Raw genomic sequence first — 27222 nt, forward strand, 5'->3', positions numbered from 1 at the left:
TAAAATGTAAAAGAGGAAAGTGTCATTGATGGTGCATGGCAGGGACATGCTCTGTGCAGTGGCCGACCTCACTAAGAGAGATAAACTTTAGGAAAAGATACTCAATGACAGAAAAGAAGGTAGACTATGAAGGTGCCCAAAACAAGAATACGGTGCAGCGCATTTAGTCTCTGGTATTAAAAAGACCTGTAGCTCTTGATAATGGTGGATGTGTGAGTGCTGCATGCATTGAGGAAACACGGTATCATCTCTGTGTATCTGTAGTAAATTGCTTGATCTTATAGTGGTAAGAACAATGGCATAATACCATTACCTAATACTTACAAATATATATAGCATCATGTCAATAAATTTTATTTTTAATTTTTTTTTAGAAAGAAACAATGTTAAACTCACAGTAATGTTGCAAATGTAGCACAAAGTACCCCCTTGCCTAACCGGAATCATGTGAGAGTCCTTTGAAGACCTGAGAATAGTACCGTTTAACATTTTACTATGTATTTCCTACAAACAAGAATATTCTCCTAAATAATCCCCATACACCAATGAAACACATTACTCCTTCGACTCCTGAGGAATATTTCAAATTGTCAAAAAATACCTAAAAAATACTTCTCATAACAAAATAGTCCAAAGTAGAACACATCACTGCAGACAAATTTGTGCTACCCTGGTCTTTTCTGGGACACCTGGGGACACTGAGCTGGTGCTGAGTTACTGAGATGAACCAGCCCTGCAGCTGTGCCCAGCCTGCCTTGCCCCCTGCTAATTTGCATGTTCCCAGAGCACATCCTCCTACCCTGAAGACTTATTAATGCGCTGGTCACACTTCATGCAGGAGTCAGACCCAGTCAGGACACAGCATGGACATGAGGGTGCCCGCTCAGCGCCTGGGGCTCCTGCTGCTCTGGTTCCCAGGTAAGGAAGGAGAACCCTAGCAGTTTACTCAGCCCAGTGTGTTCCGTACAGCCTGGCTCTTGAGGGAAGTTCTCTTACAACATGATTAATTGTATGGACATTTGTGTTTATATTTCCAATCTCAGGTGCCAGATGTGCCATCCGGATGACCCAGTCTCCATTCTCCCTGTCTGCATCTGTAGGAGACAGAGTCACCATCACTTGCTGGGCCAGTCAGGGCATTAGCAGTTATTTAGCCTGGTATCAGCAAAAACCAGCAAAAGCCCCTAAGCTCTTCATCTATTATGCATCCAGTTTGCAAAGTGGGGTCCCATCAAGGTTCAGCGGCAGTGGATCTGGGACGGATTACACTCTCACCATCAGCAGCCTGCAGCCTGAAGATTTTGCAACTTATTACTGTCAACAGTATTATAGTACCCCTCCCACAGTGTTACACACCCAAACAAAAACCCCCAGGGAAAGAGATGTGTGAGGCTGGGCTGCCCCAGCTGCTCCTCCTGATGTCTCCATCGGCTAAGAGTGTTCCTCAGATGCAGCCACACTCTGATGGTGTTGGTAGAGGGGGATGTGAAGTCACCTCTGCATCCCAATTTCTTTTTCTTTCTTAGCACCAGGTGCACAGACATAACAGTTCCTCTCCTGATTTAAAAAAGGCAGGGATCATGACACCTGAGGAGTCTAGTTTATGGCTTCACTTGGAATTCAAGTAACAGAGAAGAAGCCACTATAGATATTCTAAGCAGGAATTGTCTTGATACAGAGAAATAGAGTATAAACCATGGAAGTCTAAATAAAAATATAGAGATGAATCTCAAATTTCATGTTTTATTTGCTAAGAAATATTTGCTAAATGGGGCATACAGAAAAACTCAATGGTCTTCAATATGTTGAAAGAACAAAGAGAAGCTTAGAGTTTCATGAAAAAAGGAAAATGTTACCTATTGCTCTTTGAGAAAGTTTATTGGCTCCAGAAAGTTTTGGGAGCTGGCAAGCTCAGAATGGTAAGCACTGATGGACAAACTGAATCCTAGAATTATGTTAAATTATTCAGAAGTTGGAGGTGAATTTGATTTCAGGTTACAAGAGGCCAAAGCAGTGAAGCTTGCAGAGAATCTTGTTACTGAAGTGCGAGGGATTTGGTGTAGATCCTGCTGCTCACCACATATAAAACCAATCAGTAAGACAACAAGTATTGCCAAGAAACAGGCTTTAATCAGGTGCTGCAGCTGAGGAAATGGGACCCCATTCTCAAATGTATCTCCCTGACAAACTAAAATTAGGGGGTTATATAGCAGGGAAGAAATGTGGGCAAACAGGAATTAGAGAGGGGTAATGAAGTTAATTTTGTCAACAGGGAGCAGAAGGTCAGTGAGGCAATCACAGTGTGTGAAGGGTCTGACGTCTCACTGTCCTGATTCAGTGATATGTAAGTTTCAGCTCTCTGATAGTATCTGGAGGCCTCTTGGTGGCTTTCCTGAAAAAAGAACTCAGATAAGACAAATGTAACTATCTTGAGTTTTAAGACTGGGGAAGTCAATTTCTATGTTTATTCAAAAAACCATAAACATTACTTCCATGGGATAATAGGGCCTATTTCAATTGCATTCTTCAGACAATATTTTACACCCTGAGTGTCTTTCCCCACTGGTTTCTTGGCTCTGTTGGGTATGTCAAGAATGACCCAATTCCTACAATTAACGTTCACACTGCAACCTTTCAAAGCCAAGGATATAGTAGTCACGAAAGCTGATAATAGAAGCAGGATTCTCTGGTGCTTCCTCAGAAAACAGAATCCATCTGCCCCTAAAGTATGGGCTATCTAACCATGTGGCCCTCAGTCCTGTCTGGAAGCTTAGGGGCGGGGGTGCTGATGCTCTCAGCTTCCTACAGCATCTTTCCAGGTGTTTCTCCAGTCCTCATCCCTGTCCCTGTGTCTAGACGTCTTAGGTACCAATGGAGAATATTGAGTCATCCTTTTCTGACTTCCAAATCTCATGGAAGGACCTCTTATTGGGCAACTCTATGGGACAAAAGAGAGGCAAAAAGGGATATTTATGTAAGTTAAAATGAATTTTCTCCCATGAGGCCATTTAAGTATATTATATTTAAAGCCACGTGTTGAAAACACATCCAGCTTCAGTTTCTTATTAATGCAAATTTACATTTGCAAATATTTTCAATACTGTAAGTTGGAATCATAGTTATTTGTCCATGGATGATCAAACACCTCTATAATTAAGTGGAGTGAACATTTTCTTAAAAATTTGTACTCACTGAAATAAAGGAATATATTTAAAATGTGTGAAGCTATGTTAGAAATTATTGGACTTAAACTCAACTGTGCAGTTTGGTTTGGGATGTTGTTCACTCTTGTGACCTGCCAGAAGAATCTTGAGTCATGGGTAGTCACTGCCGTTCAGCCTTGTCCTGAGACAATTAATATGTATAGGCTGAAGACCAGCTCAGTGCCATGCAGAGAAACCACTTACCTGAGCCCTTCCTTGATCGGCCAGATGATTGTGAACATGAGCACCCATGAACATGAAAACATGTTTATTGTTTTCTGTCACTGAGTTGTGTATTTAGCCAGTTACCAATCATTAATGCATAAAAGCTTCCTGATACAGTATTTACACCTCTACCTATATATACACACATGTATTTTTTCTTAAATTGGTGGTATAAATGTGAATATTTAGTAATCAAATTATAAAGTTATTAAAAGAAAATTAATGACAAAATTAAAACTAATATTTCAATAAAAAATTAAAATTTACCTTATTTGTGGAAAAATGTGCATAAATGTATGTAAGATATGTACAAGTAAATATATATTTGTTAAAATGGCTACAATATATATAGTATTTATGTTTAATTGTGTTTCTTCTATTATATATGCAATATAAGCCTATTTGTAAAATTATTATCTACATTGAATACATTTAAATAATTTTTGTTACATTCCATAAAAAATTGTATTCTGGACCACAAATAGTTCATACTCTTGCTACAGAAAATTTATTGGTAGCCTTTATTTTTAAAACTCTACCAAATGGTTGTCCTTACACGAAAATATTTTTCCAACCCAGTAGAGCTCCAAGGGTAGGACTAGAAGAAATTTTGACTAACGTTGAATATTAACCATTGCATCCTATGAAAATCTCCATTAAGTTCATGCCCACAATGATGATATGCCAAATAGAGTCCTCACAACAATGGATGCTGGATGGAGTCACATCAGTGCCATTGTCAAGGAAGCCCTGGAAATGTAAAAATCCTAACCGTGGGTAATCTGTAAGGTTACATCTGATGATCCCATTGCAAAGAGAAGAGGATTTTAATAATATTGGCTGTTGGTTTTGACAGATCATCAGGCCTTAAAAGAAACACAACAGGATGATTGCAGACAAAGCCATTCTGGAAGAGCTATGATGAGATGTTTCAAAAATGAGCCACAATCCAAAAAAATGCTTTCCAAGTGAGTATTAATCAAAATGCCATTAATGAGCAGGGGGCTTTTAATAATGAGGATGATTCAACACATGGACTTCAGTCAGTCAGCTTTCCCAGCTTCCCCAGGGAGTATCATGAACCAATGTTATGGAGGTCCCTGTGGGGACTCAATAATATGACTTTCAACTAACTGAGACCTACAGGGCTACCGGCTTTTCTGAACATCTAATTTGTCAAGAAGAACCCCTAACATTGTATGATACATCAGGGCTCAGACTAACAGCTTGTATTAGGTGATACTAGTGGACCTCAGGTAACATAAGGAAAGCACTGGTTATTTTCCTATATATGAATTTGCCATTCTTATCGGTTATGTTTCTGCATAAAATATTATTTGAGGATTTTCCAAGTGCTTTCATCAGAATCAGGAAATTCTTCCATAAAATGGCTTTGGATCAAGCAAGTTATTTACCTCAAAAAAGAAGAGCGAAGTGTAGCTTATGATCTTGTCTTGTGCACAGGTGCAACTTTCCCTATAGACAGGGAAAAACCCATTATTAGTCAAGCAAAGCTGTCACACAAACCCTTGTGCTGTTGAATTACTATACCATCAGAAGTGGTGGAGGCTCTGAAACATTAACTGTGATGGGTGCTTTTACTCCCTTAAACAGAATATATATATCTTGAAAATGAGCTGTAGACTTACCATTGTTAACGCCAACTGAACAGCTTGAAATACTCTATTTCTGTTTTCTCAGGGCTGTGGTTTTCTGGTTGATGGTTCTTTTTTTTTTTTAAGACGGACTCTCACTCTGCTGCCAGGCTGGAGTGCAATGGCGCCATCTCGGCTTCACCGTAACCTCTGCCTCCCAGGTTTAAGCTATTCTCCTGCCTCAGCCTCCCGAGTAGCTGGGACTACAGGGGGTACACCACCTGTAGCCCAGCTAATTTTTGTATTTTTACTACAAACGGGGTTTCAACATGTGGGCCAGGAAGGTCTTGATCTCTTGACCTCGTGATCTGCCTGCCTCTGCCTCCCAAAGTGCTGGGATTACAGGCATGAGCCACCACGCCTGGCCTGGTTGATGATTCTTAATCCAAAGAGTTGACATGACAATTATCCCAAGAAATTGTAAGAAATGATATAAGCATGTGAACATTTAGACTTAATACAATACTGGATAAGTTGTCCACACAGGGTGTTAGTTTGTTTGCTGGGGCCATAGGTCTAGTTCATATAAAGCAAGAGCAAATAGAATTGATTTTACATATCTTAGAGAGGAAGTACAGAAAATATGCACCCTAGGGGACCTTCTGGAATGTTTCTATTTATTGCCATTTCCACTGGTAAAACTCAGAGAAGACGTCAACAGTCATCAGGTAGAAGTTCTAGGGATCACAGTCATGTGAAGCATTACTTGCACTTGGATCGCCAGTGAGGCAAAGGGAAGATGAAACGCATAGTGGGATATGGAGGTGGAAACATTCCTGGTCAGCTTAAACGTGGAAAAGTGTATTTATTTTTTCTCTTTAGATTTATCACTGAATCAGTTGGATCTGAGAAAAGCGATTATGACTGGTTAGGTAGAAAGGTGTTTATTATCATGAATTAAATGGATTGAAAACATTTGGAGAAACCAGTGGCAGCTTAGGGATCTCCAAGTACTCCCTTTGCTATTCCCTCACCCTGCCCACCCCTTGTTTTCCACAGTGAAGGAAGATACTCTCATTTTGATAGAAACATGGCAAGTGAAGATACTGTGCCCACAAGACTGTGCTGCCTGGCTGTGACCCAGACCAGGAAATTGAGTACATTTGAGTGAGATCAGGCACTTCCCCTCCCTCATCTCAATCCAAAAGCACTCTGTAGTAACACATCTGATGGGCATTCTTCACCACCTATGGGACTTAGGAAGCCAAGGACATGAGGAATAGCCTTTCCAGACTCTACCATAGAGAAATTATTGCCAGAAACTAGAGAATAAAATAAATACAGAAGAAGCTGGTGACAATAACGAAATGAGCCATTCATATATGTATGTTAAATAATTTAGTCTTTTCAATACACCCTTTCTTTAAAAAAATCAAAGTGCTATTTTTAGCCACCTTTATAATATAGACCACATATTAAATAATATGTACACAGATTAATGGCTCATGAGAGAAGATCATTTTTTCCTGGACGGTGTTGGGCTGAACAGATTGGAGATTCCCCACATTTTGGGGAGCACAATGCTACGTGGGGAGCATGATGTTCTTTGTAAAGAAAATATTTATTTTAGATTGTAGCCTGTTGTGGTTGATACTAGTAATGCCTGGAAATTCAAGTGTACAAAGATGTGCATTTATGATAGAAAGCCACAGGATGGACTTGGGCAGAAATAAACCCTGTAGCCTTGAAAACAGATGAATCTATGTGAGACTGACATGAAGATGTAATCAGCACAGGCAGGTCTGCAGAGAAAGGGGTCAGTTTTCTAGTAGTCAATAGCAGAGCGGCTGTCCTTCTGGGGGCAGTAGTGAGAAGAGCTGCTCTGTTTTCTGCAGGAGACAGCTTGAATGTGGAGTCTCAGGCAGCAGGAGCTCCTCCCCAGCCTGCACCAGCAGTGCCATTCTTGGAATTGTTCTAGAGGCTTTGCCAGGAGCATGTTCCTTAAGGCTTTTCAGAGGAGGACTTGTCTATGCTGAGCTCTGGAAACAAAACGTCCCTCCATTCAGGGCCCAGACCCACTATCCATTTCCTGGGCATCTGCTGCTCTGTGATTCCGTAGACCCCCCTCAGGTCACTCATGATCCTCAGCAATGGGCAGTTCACTTCTCTCAGCCCAGGGGGAACATGGAAGAGGGTCCTGAGCTTTATGACCCTCAGGCCCTGGAGTGAGGAGGGCCATGAGGTGGTGCACCCAGTGCTCATTTTCAATGTTCATGTTCAATTTATTGAAGTTTAAAACTGTACCATATACTAGCAACCAAAGTTGTATCTCTTTATATATAAACATGCATCACATATTTATTCATAAATACGTAGTATATACAAATATATAAATACAACTTATTTCTTAAATATGTATTCAATATGTAAAGTTCACAATAGAAATTCATATTACAGATACATATAATTTTATGCTTATTTGTGTAGCGTGTGTTTCTTTTCTTACCAAGCAGAATAGAGTCTGGCTGAGTAAAGACTTTAAGGACATTTGCTGACTGTCTGTTTTTGGCTCCAGCAGGGTCCCAGTCATTTAGCACGAGGGAGGGCAGAGCTGACAGCAGCCAGCCCAGGATCCCAGCACCAGCCCTAAGGTCTGGGTCTCTGAGACTTTTACTCTTGCCAGGCTGGGGGATATATGCTTAATGCAGCTCCCCTGAATTTGTGAGCAGTTTCCTTCCCTGAAGCCCCTGCCAGGCAGCCATGTGGCCAGGGCCTGTGGTTCCTCTCAGATTCTCAGCCCTGTGGCTCAGGAGAGCAGCTGCTTCCTCCACAGCCCAGGGCCAGTGCCTGGCAGCTCTCAGGCACTGCCAGCCTGACCTTAGCCCTGGGCTAAGGACCCTATTCCAAATGTCTCCTCATTTATTGCAGTATCTGAAAGTCTGTCTTGTTCTTAAACTCAAAGTCCACATTTCCACAATTGCTAAAGCTAGCATTTGCCATCTGAAAATTTAGAAATGTGAATTCATTGTCACTCTCAGAAACTGCCCTCTTCCAACTCTACCAGACAGAGTTGCCCATATGTTCTCTTCTCTCCACACAACTTTACTTAGAATTATAGTGAAATGTAACATGTGGTAAAGCTCTTACCTCCTGTACAGAAACCATCCTCTTCTCCTTTGGTACCTAGGGCATGAGCTCTAGCCTGCTGGGCATGGTGAGGACAGTGAGCCTCTCCCAGCCCGGGACAGGAGCAGGGATTAAGGCACATGTGATTAGCTCCACAGTGCAATGTCAGGGGAGTAAAGGAGGGACAGGAACTCTGGGTAGAATTTGATCCTTCATAAGAAGATGGAAGGTGAAGAGCTTTGCTTCACCTTCTAAAATCAATGACTTTATTTTAGATTTGGAAGCAGGGACACATGTTTCATTGCTCTGACTCCTTCCACATCTCCTCTTTCTCTTACAATAGCTCTGACTCAGTCTGTCCCTCTCAGATTGTGTCCTGAAAATCTAATTTTCCCTCCTAATATGAAAACAAACTAACAAAACCCTCTTCTTCCTATCATGTGCTGTGAGTTCTGACCCCTAAACTCCGTGATACCCAGATCGTATAAGAGATAATCATGGGATTTTCCCAAGAGAATTTCTAGCTAAAAAGAATTTTTGTACGAGCTCTTCTCTCAGAAAAAAAATTTTCTCTGTCTCTTGTCTGACACCAGATAACAAGGTGGAAATATTTCCAAGAACAGAGGACAGCCATGCACTCAGTGAGCTGAAAGACACCTCTTCCCCTTGCATTAGTTTCCAACGCTGCTGTTTAAATTGCCACAGTCTTATTGGCTTCACACAACATAAATGTATTACCCTGTAGTTCTGCAGGTCAGAAGTCTCACTGAGCTAATGCTAAGGTGTCAGTAGGGCTGTAATCCTTCTGGAGGCTCCAGAGGAGAGAACTGGATTCTCTGCTTCTTATCTTCAATGTGCTCCCATATTTCTGGTTCCATGGCCCCTTCCTTCCTCAAACAACATCCGTCCCCATTGTCCCAGCTCCTCCCTGACTGCAATCTTCCTCCTCTATTTTAAGGACCTTTGTGATTGTATTGATTTCATCTGGATAACCAGGAAGCTTATTCTCAAAGTCCTTAACTTACATCTATCAAGGTCATTTTTTGCTATCTATCATAAGGTAGAATCCTTATGATATGGCTCCAATGACTGGAGGAACAGCAGGGTTCTTTCTGTCTCACACTGCTTTGGATAAAATGCCACAGAAAGATGTGTAGTGGTTTTAAGGAGAGAAAAGTTTAATACGTAAGAAGGAAGGAATAATAAAATGGCTAAACAGCTACCCTGTACAGAGACAGAGGGACAGGGGATTCCAACAAAGAGAAAAGTCCATCTGTGGTGGAAAAGTGGCTGCTTATATGAGGAGAATGAAGGAGGTGGTGTCTGATTTGCAAAGGGCTCAAGGGATTGGTTTGACCAGGCATGTTATTCACATAGCCTGAGCAAAAACTGGCCCTCCCACCCTAGCCTTTCAATATGCACATGTAGGGCATCATAATGTTCTACGCACATGGGGATATGTGGGGGCAGCCATGTTGCCAGGCACATGTAGGGGCAAGGAAGAAGAAGGTAGGAATAGCCATGTTAGGGTGGACCCAGTTTCTAATGGCCTTCATTTGCATATCAAATCTTGCCAGCCTGGCTCTAAGAGCCGGAGCTTTCCTATTAGACAAGAAACATGTCTGGAGTTGCTTTAAAAGAAACAAAATCTTACCAAGGATGCCTTTTCCTCTCTATCTGCCTAAAATAATTTCTTAATAACTCCTATAAAACTTGGGTTCCAGAGACGAGGACCTGGATATCTTTTGGGGTGGGGACATTATTCATTCCACCAAAAATTAATATATTCTCCAAAATTGTCCTTCTTTAAAGTAAAATTTAAAAAATAACAAAGTATTTTTATGAAGCAAGAGAGCGGTACAAAATCTGAGACTTAGAGTCTGACTTATAAATCCTCTAACTTGTGAGTTTTAGCTGTTGGGGTATGCTCACTCCACTCCTTTATCTCACTCCTTTATCTGCTTAAAAGCAGCTTCTCCAGAAGGAAACTGATTGTCAAGAAAATTCTTCCTGGGAAATTTTATATCAGGGAAGATTAACACAAAATAGGAATCAAAAATAGAAGAGATTAGAAGTTGATGTTTTATCCAGACAGGCCTGTTCTTTTGAGGATGCACTTCTATCCTCATCTATTCTCTCCAGGTTGCCTACACTTCCCAATTACCTCTTCGCTAGAAAGGAAGTATGAAAAACTGGATCTCATTGAGTTATCTGAGTAATCACACCGCTATGATATCCCACTGCACTTTAAGTGAATTTTGCTTGCCTTTTCTCTTATTAGTCTTTCTTTTGTCAGTTCATTTTCAGCAAACATTTAGAGGACAAATGGAGCTTTCTTCCTTTCTCCCAATATAAGCAAGTTCCCTTAAAATTCAGGTGGCTTACAAAACAGCAGGAAGGTTTGTGCTTGGGCTACAGCACTGTGATTTGTCTCCCCTAGTCAGGCATCAGTAAAATTTTGTGGAGTCCTAGGCTGCAGCCCACTGATGCTGATGTAGTTGGATCCACGTCCCCTGCTACTAAGCCAGGCTGGGACATTTTTGGCACAGTAGAGATGTGAGATATAATGAGTGCAAATCCATGTCCAGGTTCATATGGATCCAGCTGATTTCTCCATGTAAGTTGGCAATTGCTTGATAAGGGATTGTCTCTTTCCTAAAGATGTTAACAGGGAGGCTGGTGTCTGGGTCAGGATGATGTCCCTGATAAAACGTAAAAGAAGAAAGTGGCATTGTTGGTGCATGACAGGGACATGCTCCATGCAGTGGTCACCCTCAATAAGAGAGAAGAACTTTGGAAAGTAATACTCAATGACAGAAAAGAAGGTAGACAATGAAGGTGCCCAAAACAAGAATAAGGTGAAGTGAATTTAGTCTCTGGGTATTAAAGAGACCTGTAGCTCTTGATAATGGTGGATGTGTGAGTGCTGCATGCATTGAGGAAACTCGGTATCATCTCTCTGTATCTGTAGTAAATTGCTTGATCTTATAGTGATAAGAACAATGGCATAACACCATTACCTAATACTTACAAATATGTATAGCATCATGTCAATAAATTTTATTTTTAATATTTTTAGAAAGGAACAATGTTAAAGCTCACAGAAATGTTGCAAGTATAGGACAAAGTACCTCCTTCCCTAACCCGAATCATATGAGAGTCTTTTGAAGTCCTGAGAATCATACTGTTTAACATTTTACTATGTATTTCCTACAAACAAGATATTCTAAATAATCCCCATACACCAATGAAATACATTACTCCGTCGACTCCTGAGGAATATTTCAAATTTTCAAAAAAATACATAAAAAATGTTTCTCATAACAAACTACTCTCCAGTAGAAACACATTCACTGCAGACAAATTTGTGCTACCCTGGTCTTTCCTGGGACACCTGGGGACACTGAGCTGGTGCTGAGTTACTGAGATGAGCCAGCTCTGCAGCTGTGCCCAGTCAGCCCCATCCCCTGCTCATTTGCATGTTCCCAGAGCACAACCTCCTGCACTGAAGCCTTATTAATAGGCTGGCCACACTTCATGCAGGAGTCAGACCCAGTCAGGACACAGCATGGACATGAGGGTCCCCGCTCAGCTCCTGGGGCTCCTGCTGCTCTGGCTCCCAGGTAAGGAAGGAGAACACTAGGAATTTACTCAGCCAATGTGCTCAGTACAGCCTGGCCCTTCAGGGAAATTCTCTTACTACATGATTAATTGTATGGATATTTGTTTTTATGTTTCCAATCTCAGGTGCCAGATGTGCCATCTGGATGACCCAGTCTCCATCCTTACTCTCTGCATCTACAGGAGACAGAGTCACCATCAGTTGTCGGATGAGTCAGGGCATTAGCAGTTATTTAGCCTGGTATCAGCAAAAACCAGGGAAAGCCCCTGAGCTCCTGATCTATGCTGCATCCACTTTGCAAAGTGGGGTCCCATCAAGGTTCAGTGGCAGTGGATCTGGGACAGATTTCACTCTCACCATCAGCTGCCTGCAGTCTGAAGATTTTGCAACTTATTACTGTCAACAGTATTATAGTTTCCCTCCCACAGTGTTACACACCCGAACAAAAACCCCCAGGGAAGCAGATGTGTAAGGCTGGGCTGCCCCAGCTGCTCCTCCTGATTCCTTCATTGCCTGAGAGTGTTCCTCAGATGCAGCCACACTCTGATGGTATTGGTAGAGGGGGACCTGAAATCACCTCTGCAACCCAATTCCTTTTGCTTTGTAAGCCCCAGCTGCACAGACATAGCAATGCCTCTCCTGATGTAATAAAGGCAGAGATCTTGACACCTAAGGAGTCTAGTTTAGGGCTTTGGTTGGAATTCAAATAACAGAGAAGAAACCACTATAGATATTCTAAGCAGGAATTGTCTTAATACAGAAAATTAGAGTCTAAACTACTGAAGTCTAAATAAAATGTAGAGCAGAATCTCTAAATTTAATGTTTTATTTGCAAAGAAATGTTTGCCAAATTGGACACACAGGAAAACTCAGTGGTCTTCAATATATTGGAAGTACGAAGAGAAGGTTAGTGTTTTATGAAAAAGGGAAAATATTACCTTTTGCATTTTGAGAAAGTTCACTGGCACTAGTAAGGGTTGGGAGCTGGCAAGCTCAGACTGGGAAGCAGTGGTGGACAAAGTGAATCCTAGAATTATATCAAGTTATCTCAGAAGTTGCAGTTAAATGTGAATTCAGGTTACAAGAAGCCAAAGCAGTGAAGGTTGCAGAGAATTTTCTTACTAAAATGCCAGGGATTCAGTGTACACCCTGCTGCTCACCACACAGAAAGTCAATCTCTAAAACAAGTATTGCCAAGAAACAGGCTTTAATCAGGTACTGCAGCCGTGGAGATGGGACACCATTTGCGAATGTATCTCCCTGATCAACTACAATTAAGAGTTTATATAACAGGGACGAAATGTGGGAAAACAGGAATTTGGGGGGTGGGTAAGGAAGATAATTTGGTCAACAGGAAGCAAGAGGTCAGTTATGCAATCATAATGGGTGAAGGTTCTGATGTCTCAGTGTCCGGATTCAGTGATATGTATGTTTCAGCTCCTTGATAGTATCTGGGAGCCCTGATGGTTGGTTTACTGAAAAAAGAACTCAGATAAGACAAATGTAACTATCTTGAGTTTTAAGACTGGGGGAGTCAATTTCTGTTTATTCAAAAAACCATAAACCTTAGTTCCATGGGATAACAGGGCCTATTTCAATTGCATTCTAGAAACAATATTTTACACCCTGAGTGCCTTTCCCCACTGGGTTTCTTGGCTCTTTTGGGTATAACAAGAATGAACCAATGCCTATGATTAACGTTCAGACCACAACCTTTCAAAGCCAAGGATATAGTAGTCAGGAAAGTTGATATTAGAAGCAGGATTGAATGGCGCTCACTCAGAAAACAGAAAGCATCTGCCCTTGAAGTATGGGCTATCTAACCATGTGGTCCTCAGTCCTGTCTGGAAGTTTAGGGGTGGGAGTGTTGATGTTCTCAGCTTCCTGCAGCATCCTTCTAGGTGTTTCTCCAGCCCTCACCTCTGTTCCTGTGTCTGCCTTAGGTACCAATGGAGAATATTGAGTCATCCTTTTCTGATTTCCAAATCTCATGGGAGGACCTCTTGTTGGGCAACTTTATAGGACACAAGAGAGGCAAAAAGGGATATTTACATAAGTTAAAATGATTTTCCCCCACTGAGGCCATTAAAATATATATATATATTTAAAGCCACATGTTGAAAACACATCCAGCTTTATTTTCTTACTAATGCAAATTTACATTTGCAAATCTTTTCAGAATTGTAAAGGTTGAAAGCATAATTATTTGTCCATGGAATGATCAAACACCTCTACAATTAAATGGAGTAAACATTTTCTTCAAAATTTGTACTCATTGAAATAAAGGAATATATTTAAAATATGTGAAGCTATGTTAGAAATTATTGGACTTAAATTCAACTGTGCAGTTTGGTTTGGGATGTTGTTCACTCCTGTGACCTGCCATAAGAATATTGTGTCATGTGTAGTCACTGCTGTTCAGCCTCGTCCTCAGACAATTCATATCTGTAGGCTGAAGATGAGCTCAGTGCCCTGCAGAGAAACCACTCAGCTGAGCCCTTTCTTGATCAGCCAGATGATTGTGAACGTGAACATCCATGAACACGAAAACAAATGTTTACTGTTATCAGCCACTGAGTTGTGTATTTAACCAGTTACCAATCATTATGCATAAAGCCTTCCTGATACAGTATTTACACCTCTACCTACACACACGATTTTTTCTTAAGTTGGTGGTATAAATGTGAACATTTAGTATTAAATTATGAAGTTATTAAGAGAAAATTAATGACAAAATTAAAACTAGTATTCAATAAAAAATTAAAATTTACCTTATTTGTGGAAAATGTGCATATATGTGTATAAGATACATAAAAGCTACCTATATTTATCTGATGAAATGTTGGCTACAAATATACATGTATAGTATTTATATTTAAGTACGTTTATTTATTATATATGCATATTTATACAATTATTTAAATTAAATACATTTAAATAATTTTTGTTATATTCCATTAAAAAAGGGTATGCTGGCTACATATAGTTCATACTGTTGCTACAGAAAATTTCTTTTAGCCTTTATTTTTAAAACTCTATGAAATGATTGTCCTTATCTAAAATATTTTTCGAACCCAGTAGAGCTCCAAGGGTAGGACTAGAGTAAATTTTGACTAAAGTTGAATATTAACCATAGCATCCTATGAAAGTCTCCATTATGTTCACACCCACAGTGATGATTTGTCAAATAGAGTTCTCACAAATAGATGCTGGATGGCGTCACATCAGTGCCATTGTCAAGAAATCCCTGGAAATGTAAAATTCGTAACAGTGGTTAACCTGCAAGGATTACATCTGATGATAACATTGCAAAGAGAACAGCAATGTAATAATATTGGCTGTTGCTTTTGACAGATCATCAGCCCTTAAAAGAAATGCAACAGGATGATTTCAGACAAAGTGATTCAGAAAGAACTATGACTAGACGTTTCAAAAATGAGCCAAAATAAAAACATGCTTTCCAAGTGAATATTAATCGAAATGCCGTTAATGAGTAGGAGGCTTTTAATAATGAGGATGATTCAACAGATGGACTTCAGTCAATCACCTTTCCCAGGTTTCCAAGGTGTCTCCTGAACCAAGGTTATGGAGGTCCCTGTGGGGACTCAATAATATGAGTTTCAACTAACTGAGACATACAGGGCTACTGGCTCTTCTGAACACCTATTTTGTCAAGAAGAATAACGTCTCTTGAACCCCTAACATTGCGCCACACATCAGGGCCCAGACTAACAGCTGGTGTCGGGTGATACTAGTAGACCTCATGTAACGTGAGGAGGGCACTGGTTATTTTCCTATATATGAATTTGCCTTCCTTTTTGGTTATATTTCTGCATAAAATATTATTTGAGGATTTTCCAAGAGCTTTCATCAGAGTCAGGAAGTTCTTCTGTAATATAGCTTTGGATCAAGCAACTTATTAACCTCAAAAAAAGTGAAGTGAAGTGTAGCTCATGCTCTTGTCATGTGCTTTCCCTATGGACAGAGAAAAACCCATTATTAGTCAAGCAAAGCTGGCACACAAACCCTTCTGCTATTGAATTGCTGTCCTGTCAGATATGGTGGAGGCTCTGAAACAGTAACTGTATGAATGGTGCTGTCACTCCCATAAACAGAATATTTATATCTTGAAAATGAGCTGTAGACTCATCATTGTTATGCCAAATGAACAGCTTGAAATACTCTATTTCTATTTATTCAGGGCTGTGGTTTTCTGGTTGACGGCTCTTAATCCAAAGAGTTGATGTGAAATTATTCCATGAAATTGGAAGAAATGATATGATAAGCATGTGACCATTTACATTTATTAAAATACTGGATAAATTGTCAAGACAGGACATTAGGATGTGTGCTGGGGCCATAGATATAGTCCATAAAAGCAAGAGCAAACATAATTGATTTTACATATTTTAGAGAGGAAGTACAGAAAATATGGAACCTAGGGGACCTTCTGGAATGTTTCTATTTATTGCCATTTCCACTGGTAAAACTCAGAGAAGATTTCAACCGTCATCAGGATGAAGTTCTAGGGATCACAGTCATGTGAAGCATTCCCTGTACTTGGATCACCAGTGAGGCAAAGAGAAGATGAAACGCATAGTGGGATATGGAGGTGCAAACACCAGGGACAGCATCCTGGTCAGCTCAAACATGGAGAAGTGTATTTATTTTTTCTCTATAGGTTTATCACTGAATCAGTTGGATCTGAGAAAAGTCATTATGACTGGTTAGGCAGAAAGGTGTTTATTATCATGAATGAAATGGATTGAAAACATTTGGGGAAACCAGAGTGGCAGCTCAGGCAACTCCAAGTACTCCTTTTGCTATTACTTGACCCTCCCCGCCCCCACCCCTATGTTTTCCACAGTCAAGAAAGATACTTTCATTTTGATAGAAACATGGCAAGTGATGATATTGTGCCCAGAGGACTGTGTTGCCTGGCTGTGACCTAGACCAAGAAAATGATCACATTTGAGTGAGTTCAGCCATTTCTCCTCCCTCATCTCAATCCAAAAGCACTCTGTAGTAGCACAGTTGATGGGCATTCTTCACCACATCTGGGACTTAGGAAGCCAAGGACATGAGGAGTAGCCTTTCCAGACTCTACCATAGAGAAAGTATTGCCAGAAACTAGAGAATAAAATAAATATGAAAGAAGCTGGTGACAATAACGAAATGAGTCATGTTAAATAATTTAATCTTTTCTTTACACCCTTTTGCCAAAAGAATTCAAAGTGCTATTTTTACCAATCTTTATAGTTTAGCCCACAAATTAAATAATAAGTAGACAGATTAACGGCTCATGAGAGAAGATCCTTTTATCCTACATGGTGTTGGGCTGAACAGATTGGACTTTCCCCACATTTTGGGGAGCACAATTCTACGTGGGGAGCATGATGTTCTTTGTAAAGGAAATCTTTATGTGAGGTTCTAGCATGTTGCTGTTGATACTAGTAATGACTAGAAATTCAAGTGTAGAAAGATGTGTAGTTATGATAGAAAGCCACAGGGTGGACTTGGGCAGAAATAGCCCCTGAATCCATGAAAACAGATGAATCTACATGAGACTGAAATGAAGATGTAATCAACACAGTCAGGTCTGCAGAGAAAGGGGTCAGGTCTCTAGCAGTTGATAGCGGAGCAGCTGTCCTTCGGGGGGCAGTAGTGAGAAGAGCTGCTCTCTTTCCTGCAGGAGACAGCTTGAATGTGGAGTCTCAGGCAGCAGGAGCTCCTCCCCAGCCTGCGCCAGCAGTGCCATTCTTGGAATTGTTCCAGAGGCTTTGCCTGGAGCCTGTTGCTTAAGGCTTTTCAACAATTTCTAAGGAATTTAATATCCTCTAGTAAATCCCTTTATGCTTCACGGATTTGACATTTGCAACAGGGAATATAAACAGCTTACAGTGACATCATTCACAGCCTCCTTTTTTCTTGCTAAATATAATGCTTTCCAGGTGGACTTGCCAGAGGAAGCTGATGTGAACAATAATCCATGTCACCAAAAACGCAAGACAAATAAGCTCAGAAAAGCCACTGGGTTCTCACCTAGCTTCACTGTCCCCTAGGACAAAATGGGAGAGTGTAACACTCTTAGCTCCACCATCAGAGAGAGAAGGTGAAGTGTGACATTCTCAGCGTAGTAAGTGAATATTTACAGACATTTAAATACTAACACCTTTAACACCAAAATACAGGCAAAAGTAGAAAAAAAAATAAATTGGACTACATAAAAATTTAAAATGGGCATCAAAAGATAAAACCTACACAGTGAAAATGCAACATGTGGAATAGAAGAAAATATTTGAAAATCATATCTGATAAGGGGTTAATAATATCTACTATACAAAAATAAATTCTACTTGTCAACAGTAAAAATAAAATAACTGATTAAAAATGAGAAAAGTATATGAATAGACATTTCCCTAAAGAAGATACTTTGGGGATATTTAGATAACTAGCATAGGAAACGATGCTCAATATTATTAATCCTTAGAAAAATTAAAACAAAACCCACCTGATGCCTGTTAGAATGTTTTTTTCCAACAGAGGGTGACCAGTCTTGGTGAGAATTTAGGGAACTGGAACTCCTGTGGACACTGTCGTGGTGATGTAAATGGCCCACCTGCTGTGGGAAACAAGATGGCAATTCCTCGAAGGATTAAAAATAGAAATACTATATAATTCAGCAATTCCACTTTTGGACATATACCCAAGTAATGGAAGACATTAAATTGAGGAGATATTTGTATATCCACATTCAGAAGCAAATTATTCACAGTAGCCAAATGTAGAAGCAACTCAAATGTTCACAAAGGAGGGAACTGGTAATCCAAATGTGGTAATATACATACTATTCCATATTATTTAGTTTTAAAAAGGGAAATTCTGACACATGCTACAACATGGATGGAACTAGAGGACATTACACTAAGTGAAATAACCCAGTCTCAAAAATACTGAGTTTTGATTTCACTGTGGTATTTGCAGAACAGTTTCCATTTAGTCACGAATTAACCCAGTCTCCTTCCTTTTCTTGATTGTAGTTTTCAGGAATAACTGTAGAATGTTCTGGAACTGTAACATTCTGAGATAGGGCATGATTGGCCAGAACAGCCTGGGTTCTGTTTCTGTCCCTACTAGAAACAGGAATTCCTTCAACACTGTAGCCCAGTGTGTCATGTGATTCTAAGACATAAAACCCAGGGTGGGCTGCATTCCAGGGTCCCTCAGCTGCGGTCCTTTTGTGTTATGCAAGGTCTAGAGTCAATCAGGCCCAGGCAGCTTTGTGCTCTCTCTTGCTGACTCTGTAAGTAGTAATCCACTTCATGTAACTGGTTGTGCATGGGTGTTCTGTCTCACTAGATTTGGGTGAGTTGGCAACCAGTGCACAGCAAACCTTCTTGGCAAAATTGGCACACTAAGAAGGTTTGATTTGAGAGAACCATGGCTTATTGGTGAAGTTGGAGGAACAATACTCTCCAGTACCTGGCCCAGGACAGAGACATCAGCCTGGGGATGCCAGGCCTGGACATGCAGATGGATGTTTAATAAGGAGGGAGGATAAATGGGACATGGTGAGAGGCAGTGTTTGATGTGGTGGTGAGACAGCAGAAACAGTGGAGAAGCAAGACAGCAAGAGACAGCAAGAGATGGCATTTTGTGAGAAGATGGACATAGCGATCAGCAATGGGCGAGACAGCTATTGGAGAAGTGGCAAGTCAGCGATCAGTGAGAGAGGGCGAGATCGGCGCTACAGCGATTAAAGCTACATAGTTGCTAACATTGCAGAGCTGTTAAGACTGGCCAAAGGCTGTTTGAAGAGCCATCGTCTTTCCTGACAGGCAGTGGAGCTGAGCAGATAGGTAAGTGGCCACAGAGCCACTGCTTCATGCAGGCCAGCCGCTCCATGCACCAGTTCACCCGTGGGAGCTCAACCCACCCAAGCTGGGGAGCCTGGAGAGATCTTCATGCAGGCCTCATGTTAGAGACTGCTTGGCACCATTTTGGCTCCTGCACACCTGTAAGTGTCCCATCTACCCACCTTCCCTATATCAGATGATCCAGGAAATAAGGCCTTTGGCTAAATAGTCCATTTGAAGTCCCCCATAGCACACCTGACTACATCCTCATTGATCTTTCTCTTAGTCATTTCTCCTCTAATGACATTTTATTTATCCATCAGCCATTTTATCTTATTTTCTGCCCCGATATATGTGTTTGCTTTGCAGTTTTTTCTTTGGGTCCCTACTAATTATGTTTGTGCAATTGTTTAAGGCAGGACACTTGGATGTAAGAATTCTCCTGTTCTGTTGACTCTAAGAAGCCAGAGTCACATTGTTCTATGGCCCCAACCGGGCCTTTGGGGCTCATTGTTGGCCACCCCACTGAGGCTCCAGGATTTTCTGCACTGGTCAGCCCCTGGATACTCCAGGGTTTCCTGGCATTTGGTGTGGGACATTCATAGGCTGATACTCGTGTACTCTGGGTTTTCAGCATTTAGTACTGTTGGCCACTCCCTGGATGCTCCAAGGTTTTTAGCATTGACATTCGTCCGAGGATTGTGGATTGGAGCCTCACCCTATGGAAATCTTGGTTTGCCTTTTCTTGTTTTCTGCCCTAAGGTTATCATTTTCCATAACAGCCTTGTGTTTTCCTTCTGTCACTTTATTTACACTTTTTCCTCTACGCTTTACTTAATAAAAATACAGCTTTAAGGCTGGGCATGGTGGCCCATGCCTGTAATCCCAGCACTTTGGGAGGCCAAGGTGGGAGGATCATTTGAGGTCAGGAGTTGAAGACCAGTCTGGCAAACATAGTAAAACCTCGTCTCTACTAAAAATACAAAAATTAGCCAGGCACAGTGGCATGTACCTGTAACCCTAGCGACTCAGGAGGCTGAGGCAGGAGAATGGCTGAAACCCAGGAGGTGGAGGTTGCAGTGAGCCAAGATCATGCTATTGCACTCCAGCCTGGGTGACAAAGCGAGACTCTATCTCAAAAAAAAAAAAACAAGTAAAACAAAAAATTTTGCCTGTGATACAATAATGAGTTTCTTTTAAAACTTCTGAGATTAGTGTCTTAGAGATTTAACTGTTGTGTTTTGCTGCTTTCAGCTTGTTCTCCCTTTAAAAAGGCCTGGGATCATTGCTGTCTCCTTTTCCTTTTTCATCAGCTCCTGTGATGTTTTCATCTCAACACTTTGGGAGGCTGAGATGGGCGGATCACTTAGGCCAGGAGTTTGAAATCATCCTTGCCAACATAGCAAAACCATATCTTTACTAATATTACAAAATTAGCTGGGCATGGTGGTACATGCGTGTAATCCCAGCCACTCAGGAGGCTGAGGCATGAAAATGGTACATGCGTGTAATCCCAGCCACTCAGGAGGCTGAGGCATGAAAATAGCTTGAAAACTGGAGGCAGAGGTTCCAGTGAGCCCAGCCAAGATTGTGCCACTGCACTCTAGCCTGGGCAACAGAGCGAGACTCCATCTCAAAGAAAAAACAACAACAACAACAAAACAACAACAACAACAACAAAATGATCCCCCAAGAATCAATAATAACCAGAATAAGGAGCCATTATCAGATATTCTTAATTACTCTTAATTACTGTTAGGCTTCAGGAAGCCACTAGTTGGGTACAGCTGCCCAGGATTAAAACTGTTTCTTACAAGGTCCTACAGCCACAAAAGGTGGACACCACAACCTCCATTTATAAAACAGAAAACTTAAGGGTGTTGTTTTGCAAACACATAGATTAATAACATGGTTCTGTAGGTGGACCTAGGAGCATTAATTTTTCCCTCTCTTCCAATTATAATTTTCTTGTTTAACATCCTAGTAAAGTTTATGTCTTCTAAATTTCATGTAAAGATGATACGGTCTGTCATAAGTCTTCCAACCCATTCTGTCTTCTGACCCCACAAATGAATGCATCGTGCCATTGGGCCCCTTAGTTCAGGTACCAAAGATTTTTACTCCTCAAAGGCTAGGGAAGGCCTGCCCCCATAAAGTCAGCAGGAAGCACTTACAGAAAAGGGACTCTGCTCTTCTGCAGTCCCCTTAAGATTAAGGAGGAGTATCTAATCTCTGAGGGAGCAATGAGATAGGAGGTAGGTGGGACTCAACCCAGGACCAGATTGAAGACTGGCTGACACAAGGAAGAGACACTGGAAGCACCTGTCCATAACACATGCCCACCATTGCCATATCAGTTTACCATTGCCATGGCAACACCTGAAAGTTATTGCTCATTTTCTAGCTATTTCTGAATAACCCACTCCTTTATTAGCATGTCATTAAAAGTGGGGATAAATATGAGTGCAAAACTGCCCCTACGCTACTGCTCTTGGCACGCCTATGTGGTAGCTCTGTTTCACAAGAACAGTCACAAAGCTGTAACACTGCCACCTCAGTAAAGCTGTTTTCTTCTACCACCAGCTTACGCTGCATTCCTTCCTGAGTGAAGCCAAGAACCTGCCCTGCACCACTTTTGTCAAGTCAGTTGACATCAAATTACTCATAATATCCTCTCTTTATTTTTTGACTCCTGTAGGCTGTGTAATGACTTCTTCCTTTCCGTTTATGATATTGTGTTTTGTGTCATTTTTCTTTCCCTCTTCTTTTTTTTTGAGACAGATTCTTGTTCTGTCACCCAGGCTGGAGTGCAGTGGTGCAATGTTGGCTCACTGCAACCTCCGACTCCCCAGTTCATGCCATTCTCCTGCCTCAGCCTCCCGAGTAGCTGGGACTCCACCACGCCCAGCTAACTTTTTTGTATTTTTAATGGAAATGGGGTTTCACCATGTTAGCCAGGATGGTTTTGATCTCCTGACCTCGTGGTCCACCTGCCTTGGCCTCCCAAATCTTTCCCTCTTCTTTATACACCCTTCATCAAGTAGTCACAGGTTTCAATTCAGTTCTTTCTTGGTGGTAGTATGCCTCATGAAAAAAGCTGATTCTTCTGTGTTTGAGGCCATTCACCATGTTTATATGTAATACTGTAAAAAGTCCTGTGACATAAGCCTCTGCTTCACAAACTGACCGCTGTCAAACATCATCTCCCCACCAATAGAGAATTTTTTTGTTCCTCACTAGTATAATTCACATAGGAGTAGAAATCTCAAGTTTAAAGTGTGGATTTGCACTTTACCACTTGTTGTATTCAAGAAGATGAATAATATTAATACATCAGTAGGGCCAGGCGCAGTGGCTCAATCCTACAATTCCAGCACTTTGGGAAGCCGAGGCAGGCAGATCACCTGAGGTCAGGAGTTTGAGACCAGCCGGGCCAACATGGCAAAACCCCGTCTCTACTAAAAATATGAAAATTAGCTGGGTATGTTGGCACACACCTGTAATCCCAGCTACTTGGGAGGCTGAGGCAGGAGAATTGCTTTAAATGGAGAGATGGAGGTTGCAGCGAGCCAAGATTGTGCCACTGCACTCCAGCCTGGGTGACAGAGTGAGATTCTATCTCCAAAAAAAAAAAAAAAAAAAAAAAATCAGTAGCTTTGAATTTTAAACATCTATTTGACAAGAAATTCACAGTTCTTTCTCTCTTAAATAACATAATAATTCTTTCAGTAATGAGCCTGGTTTGATGCCTCTCTCCCCAACATGATACAAGTATCACATAAATCTATGAAAAATTCAATTTCCCTGTTCCTACAACTGTCTGGGATGGAAAACTTCTTCCCTTGCTCTAGTCCTTTCTTCTACACCTAGTTTCACCTAATCTGTGACTCAAAACAATACTTGTCAGGAAACATTCTGGAAAGAGCAAAAGGCTTCTAAGAGGTGTCAGAGATTCCTGGACCAACATCTGTCCATCTCTAGAGGGGGTTGTGAGTATGAGGAAGAGCAGAGCTTGTAAATCTTCTCCTTGCTTTCACTCCCACTGTATTTCCTAACAACAACCACAACCACATAATATCATAGAACAAGCATCTACTACTTCCAAGGCTTTGGTCTCAGTAAATCTTCTCTACCTCTATCACAGCATCTAGAAGGTTTGATACTCATACAAATAGTGCTGTAGCTTTCTTTTCATAACTGGAAAAGTGGGCAAGACTCAGTGTAATGCAGGCATTCCTTAAGCTACTTAGCATTCAGTTTTTAGATTATCATTGCACACATATACCCAGCATATGTCTAATATACATGTAAAAATCCATGAAGCAAGTGTTATATTAGCTTGTGTTTTCTATTGTATTAAATTTTTCTCTTATATCGTCTTCTCCTTTTTGTCATTAAAAATCTGTTCAAGTCAGTCTAAATTAATTATTGGATCATAAGTAGATAAAATCTTTTATTTCATAACACATTGACCCAATGAATATGTTTCTTTGCAAGACACAGTCCTCATTTCCAAGACAACAAGCCTGAAAAAATTATACTGGAGCAAGTCTACAAGTAATGATGGTAGTTTTTCCTTATTGTCAGTCCTGGGGCAAGAATAACATAAAAGATAACAAGGTAGAATAAAGATTACATAAGAAAGAAGGACAGCAACAGGACATGGGAACTGTTTATAGGGTAACATTTAAATAATGGATGATGAGAAGTAATGCGTTAGACAGGGATGGATGGGAATGATTGAAGGTCTGAGTACTTTAGCACAGATTAAGATCAAATCATTAGGATTTTAAGAGTTGTGTACAGTTACTGAAGAAAATGCCTTAGAATTTAATTTGACTGTGGATAAAACATTCTTGGATTAGATTTAAGACTAATTTCCATGGTAAGTATATTTATAATGATGATGACTGTAGTGCTGAACATTTAAACAATGAAAACAAAATTAATTGCCACACACATAATGTCCTGAATACTACTGTAAATGTTTTATCTTATTTTCTTTAAACTGTCTACAGCACTGTAAGGCAGGTACCACTATTGTCACAGTTACACAGATATGGAAACCGAGACACAGGGAAGTTAAGTTACTTGATTAATTTCAAGCAATCGGGAAGCCATGGAGCATCTATGTCAGGGCTGCCAGGACATGTGACTGTAAACAGAAGTTTTTAACTCAAAGAGGGTATGTATCTGGGTTAATGGAAAGCTTCAGGACCCTCAGAAAACATTACTAATAAGCAAATGAAAGGTGTATCTGGGCCGGGCGCGGTGGCTCATGCCTGTAATCCCAGCACTTTGGGAGGCCAAGGCGGGTGGATCACCAGGTCAGGAGATCGAGACCATCCTGGCTAACACGGTGAAACCCCGTCTCTACTAAAAATACAAAAAATTAGTTGGGCATGGTGGCAGGCGCCTGTAGTCCCAGCCACTCGGGAGGCTGAGGCAGGAGAATGGCGTGAACCTGGGAGGCAGAGCTTGCAGTGAGTGGAGATCGCACCACTGCCCTCTAGCCTGGAAGACAGAGTGAGACTCCGTCTCAAAAAAAAAAAAAAAAAAAAAAAAAAAAAAAAAAAAAATGTGTATCTGGAAGATTAAGTTCTAACAGACTCTTCATTTCCATCGATCCAATAATGCACTTAGGGAGATGACTGGGCATATTGAGGACAGGAAGAGAGAAATGAAAACACAGCCTTTTATATTGTTCTTAACAGACTTGTGCCAAACATTATACGGGTGTATTTAGGTGATTGAAGAGAAGAAAGGCACAGGAGTGAAATTCTGTGAGCACAAGGGAGGAGTTCTACACTCAGACTGAGCCAACAGACTTTTCTGACCTGACAACCAAGGCGGCGCAGGATGCTCAGTGCAGAGAGGAAGAAGCAGGTGGTATCTGCAGCTGGAAGCCCAGCTCCCACCCCAGCTGCTTTGCATGTCCCTCCCAGCTGCCCTACCTTCCAGGGCCCATATCAATGCCTGGGTCAGAGCCCTGGGGAGGAACTGCTCAGTTAGGACCCAGATGGAACCATGGAAGCCCCAGCACAGCTTCTTCTTCCTCCTGCTACTCTGGCTCCCAGGTGAGGGGAATATGAGGTGGTTTTGCACATCAGTGAAAACTCCATCAGGAGTTTTCTCTGCTCAGCAAGAAATATAATTAAAATTCAAAGTAGATGAACAATTTTGGCTCTACTCAAAGACAGCTGGTTTGATCTAGATTACATGAGTGCATTTCTGTTTTATTTCCAATCTCAGATACCACCGGAGAAATTGTAATGACACAGTCTCCAGCCACCCTGTCTTTGTCTCCAGGGGAAAGAGCCACCCTCTCCTGCAGGGCCAGTCAGAGTGTTAGCAGCAGCTACTTATCCTGGTACCAGCAGAAACCTGGGCAGGCTCCCAGGCTCCTCATCTATGGTGCATCCACCAGGGCCACTGGCATCCCAGCCAGGTTCAGTGGCAGTGGGTCTGGGACAGACTTCACTCTCACCATCAGCAGCCTGCAGCCTGAAGATTTTGCAGTTTATTACTGTCAGCAGGATTATAACTTACCTCCCACAGTGATTCAACATGAAACAAAAACCTCAACAAGACCATCAGTGTTTACTAGATTTTACCAGCTGCTTCCTTTACAGACAGCTAATGTGGTGGCCACTCAGTTTTAGCGTCTCTGCTCTATTTGGACATTTTGCAGTTCTAAAAAAAAATCATTGAATAATTTGGACTTTGATTCTTGGACTCTTTTCAACTGAGGCACCAGAATCCCAGGTTTCCAGAAATAGTGACTCACTGTATGAATCCTTATATAGCCTCAGTGGTTCTTAACTTTCCCAGTAGAGGTAGCTCAGTGCATGCTACACTGCTCCATTTGAATTTTGCAACATTCTAAGTAGTAGAAAATTCTATTTATTTATCCAAATAGTTGACTCAGTAAAAGCTGTTCATGTGAAGATACTACCATGGCTGAATAAATCCCATTCTTTTTCTTTCTTCAGGCTATCAACATTTCAGTGGCAAATGGTTATTATGGAAACATTTGCCATTTAAAAGTGAACTAAATTATTTCTTCAATTTTCGCTGTGATGCAGTAGACTGTAAAAAGATTAAAGTTTGTTAAAATAAAGTACATATTCGATAAGGAAGAAACAGATTATTCCTAATGACGTCTGCAATGACCTAGTAGAAAGAGTGATAGAAGCAGTTGTTTTCATTATTTTTGTCCAAAACTTCCTTTCAAATGGGATTTCATTGATCATATTCATTTATTACCACCTATAAGACATGTTGACATTATGTAACATCTGATGTGAAGCGCTGAGGATACATCTGTCTGTATTATTCTTGCCAAAAATTAATGGTGTGAATTAAATCAGTAGTAAACATCATATACAAACCCAACTAGGAGGACATTCTTCAACATACCTGGACAGTAAACTTCAAATGTTTGAAGGCCATGAAAGAGAAACAAAAGTGAAAAACTATCACAGATTTAAAGATATTAAGGACAGGATAACCAAATAAAATACAGAAACCTGAATTTTATCTTGTAACATAAAAAAAGTCATCAACGGGAAAAATCAGTGAAATCCATATGGTAT

The 27222-nt window shown here is 40.9% G+C and overlaps 3 gene segments (V, D, J or C) and 1 further gene, besides 6 other annotated features; all 4 read left to right on the forward strand.

Moving 5' to 3' along the window:
• Window positions 1-26178, forward strand: part of IGK (immunoglobulin kappa locus) — a 1378008-nt gene extending 1351830 nt beyond the window's left edge.
• Window positions 864-918: a sequence feature.
• On the forward strand, window positions 864-1339 carry IGKV1D-43 (immunoglobulin kappa variable 1D-43). The segment is given in 2 exon segments: window positions 864-918; window positions 1044-1339. Coding segments are annotated over 2 exon segments (351 nt in total), but the record flags the coding sequence as incomplete, so codon positions are not given.
• Window positions 1044-1054: a sequence feature.
• Window positions 11718-11772: a sequence feature (IGKV1D-8 leader sequence).
• On the forward strand, window positions 11718-12192 carry IGKV1D-8 (immunoglobulin kappa variable 1D-8). The segment is given in 2 exon segments: window positions 11718-11772; window positions 11897-12192. Coding segments are annotated over 2 exon segments (351 nt in total), but the record flags the coding sequence as incomplete, so codon positions are not given.
• Window positions 11897-11901: a sequence feature (IGKV1D-8 leader sequence).
• Window positions 25647-25704: a sequence feature (IGKV3D-7 leader sequence).
• IGKV3D-7 (immunoglobulin kappa variable 3D-7) lies at window positions 25647-26178 on the forward strand. The segment is given in 2 exon segments: window positions 25647-25704; window positions 25880-26178. Coding segments are annotated over 2 exon segments (357 nt in total), but the record flags the coding sequence as incomplete, so codon positions are not given.
• Window positions 25880-25890: a sequence feature (IGKV3D-7 leader sequence).

The sequence above is a fragment of the Homo sapiens genome, chromosome 2 (genome assembly GCF_000001405.40).
Source record: "Homo sapiens chromosome 2, GRCh38.p14 Primary Assembly".
In the NCBI taxonomy this organism is placed as follows: Eukaryota; Metazoa; Chordata; class Mammalia; order Primates; family Hominidae; genus Homo; species Homo sapiens.